Source organism: Homo sapiens, chromosome 10 (genome assembly GCF_000001405.40).
Source record: "Homo sapiens chromosome 10, GRCh38.p14 Primary Assembly".
NCBI lineage: Eukaryota > Metazoa > Chordata > Mammalia > Primates > Hominidae > Homo > Homo sapiens.
Genome location: NC_000010.11, coordinates 118,479,784 through 118,482,915, shown reverse-complemented (window position 1 = coordinate 118,482,915; position 3,132 = coordinate 118,479,784). Strand labels below are relative to the sequence as shown.

General features: G+C 38.0%; 1 annotated feature.

Moving 5' to 3' along the window:
* Positions 725-1,019: an enhancer, noted in NCBI's record as "tiled region #4791; K562 Activating DNase matched - State 6:EnhF". NCBI's record gives its function as "activates a minimal TATA promoter and a strong SV40 promoter by Sharpr-MPRA in K562 cells {active_cell/tissue: K562}" and the evidence as "EXISTENCE:reporter gene assay evidence [ECO:0000049][PMID:27701403]".

Genomic DNA, 3,132 nt, shown 5'->3' with positions numbered 1-3,132 from the left:
CAGTCCACTGTGGTCTTATTCCTCTCTGCGCTCTCTAAGTCATCACTGACAATATTCTCTCCTTGCCGTTATGCCTTCCTATTTATTTCATTGGTTATGTTTGAATATGCCTTTATTTTATCTTCTCTCTCAGACGAAAGCTTCTCCAAGGCCCTTGTGTCCTACTGGTCTTTGTACCTTTTTCCGTGTCTTCGGCAAAATCCTTTAAATACAGCGGGTCCATGAAATGTCTATACACTCAGATATACCCGTGTGTTTGCTGGTTGATTAATTTCAAATGCACATTAAGTTTTCTCTGCAATTTGGACTGTGATCAGAAATTTTGCCTGTACAGCACTTTTGGGGGGCAGATGGTAAATTACCATGGAACCACCAAATAGAGGATCCTATTTGGACAAACAAATCCATTTATAGCAGCTGTTTCTCTTAAAATACCTCCAACTGATTCTTAAAAAATGTGACAAGTTCAAGCATTTTAAATAGTAAATTGTTTAGTCTAGATTTCTCCAATTAAGTATTTTCAGAGAATCACTGAGATTTGAGAACTGATTCCTATGTTATTATACCCAGTAAGAACATCACAAAATCAGTGACCTGTGTATTCTCTCAATGATTCTTTTCTAATGTCTCAATTTCTTTCGAATAAGAAATAGCAGAAAGGTTGAACTATATGTACATCGTATTCTACCTAAGTTCTAAAATCGTTGTAAATCAGAAATATCTCATTTTTTCCCAGCCTTATAAATGTTGAAGTTGCATTCATCCACTTTTCAACTTGGATAGTCAGTGTGACCTGGGAGGAAATGGTCCCTCATGTTTGCTAAGTTCCAAATATGACTCACACACTGTGTACCTCTCCCACGTATGAGGCAGTGACTATAGAACCTCTCTGCGTCTGCGTTTCCACATCCATGAGGATATTGAACCAACATCAAAATGTGGTCATGATAATTAATTTGGTCAGTGTATGTAATATATAGCCTTAGTTGAATGACTGGCACATCATAAGCACTACGTAAGTATTTGTTGAAGAAATAAAGATAAAATAAATCTAATTCTCACAACAGTACTTTGTGGTAGGTACTTGCAAAAAGTCCATCTACCAAAAATAGCTAAAAACCAACTGATTCATTTGTTTTTATCCTTAGGTTTACAAAAAAAGGATATTACCAGGCAATCTTCTCTTACCCTTGGTGGCAGTTATTTTATACAGCCTAGCAGTCTCAACATTATTTGTTTTGAATAAATAAATATAATTATACCCATGCTTGAGGCCACAAGATGCATTTCCTCGATACCAAGAGTGAAAAGATACATGGCCATATTTTCTTGTAACATGACTAAGTCAGTTTCACACTTGGCAAAGGAGAAGCCTAGCAGAATGGGAAAATGTCTTAATATATTAATTGTGTATGACTGAGTTTCATACAGTTTCAAATTTTCTGAAAGGCATTAATAACAAGAACCTGTAATGACTCAAGGGAAACAATGACACACTTGCGTTTTATTCTATGTTTTATGTTTAATTTATTATTATTATTTTTTTACTTTAAGTTCTGGGATACGTATGCAGAATGTGCAGGTTTGTTACATGGTTATATATGTGCCATGGTGGTTTGCTGCACCTATCAACCCGTCATCTAGGTTTTAAGCCCTGCATGGATTAGGTATTTGTCCTAATGCTCTCCCTCCCCTTGCCCCCACCCCCAAAAAGGCCCCAGTGTGTGTTGTTTCCCTCCCTGTGTCCATGTGTTCTTATTGTTCAACTCCCACTTATGAGTGAGAACATGTGGTGTTTGGTTTTCTGTTCCTGTGTTAGCTTAATGAGAATGATGGCTTCCAGCTTCATCCATGCCCCTGCAAAGGACATGATCTCATTCTTTTTTATGGCTGCATAGTATTCCGTGGTTTATGTATGCCACATTTTCTTTATCCAGTCCATCACTGATGGGCATTTGGGTTGGTTCCAAGCCTTTGCTATTGTAAATAGTGCTGCAGTAAACATATGTGTGCATGTGTTTTTACAGTAGAATGATTTATAATCCTTTGGGGATATACCCAGTAATGGGATAGCTGGGTCAGATGGTGTTTCTGGTTCTAGATCCTTGAAGAATTGCTACACCGTCTTCCACAATGGCTGAACTAATTTACACTCCCACCAACAGTGTACAGTAACACTTCAGTATCTGATTGTCACTAGAAATGACCATTTGCTGTGTGTAGTTTTTCAAACAACTAAATCTTGGTCCTTTAATCACAAAAGCTTTAAATATTTTAAGGTTTTCTAAAAAACGATGGGGATATAAAACCATTCACTATCTTATTAAGCATAGTCTGATTAACACCATACTCGAGAATATAAAAAATGCTGAACATGTTAACTTTTGTTGTATGTAAAGCAAAGGCCAACATTTGCTTCACTAACGAGTATTACAGTAACGTGTTCAGAGATTTTTAAGACATTAAAGGATTCTGTGCCTCCCATCCTGAATGGCCCCACTATTGATGGCATTAAATATTATGTCAGGGTTTTGTATTTTTATTAGTTCATAGAGCACTGTACGACTATTGGGCTTCACTTTACCAACTATTGAAAACAATTAGAACTAGTTTCTGAGGCTAAGGATAAAAAGGTAGATCAAGCAGGTGCTATACGAGTATATACCTATAACCATCTACTCAGCAACATGAGTAATTGTTATTGGTGCTTAAAGGAAGGGGAAGAAGGAAGAGAGAAGAAAGGAAAAGGAGGAGAGGCACAGGGCATCCAGGAACTTTTTTCTTTTGCAGTTGAGATTGGTATAAAATGGAGGTTGAGAGTGTGCAAGAGCTGGGAGGGCGCATTAGTCCATTTTCACACTGCTGATAAAGACATACCCAAGACTGGGTAATTTATAAAGAAAAAGAGGTTCCACGTGGCTGGGGAGGCCTCACAATCATGGCAGAAGGGAAAAGGCACATCTTATGTGGTGGCAGGCAAGAGAGACTGAGAATCAAGTGAAAGGGGTTTCCCCTTATAAAACCATCAGATCTTGTGAGACTTATTCACTACCACGAGAACAGTATGGGTGTAACTGCCCCCATGATTCAATTATATCCCCCCAGGTCCCTCCCACAACACGGGGGAATTAT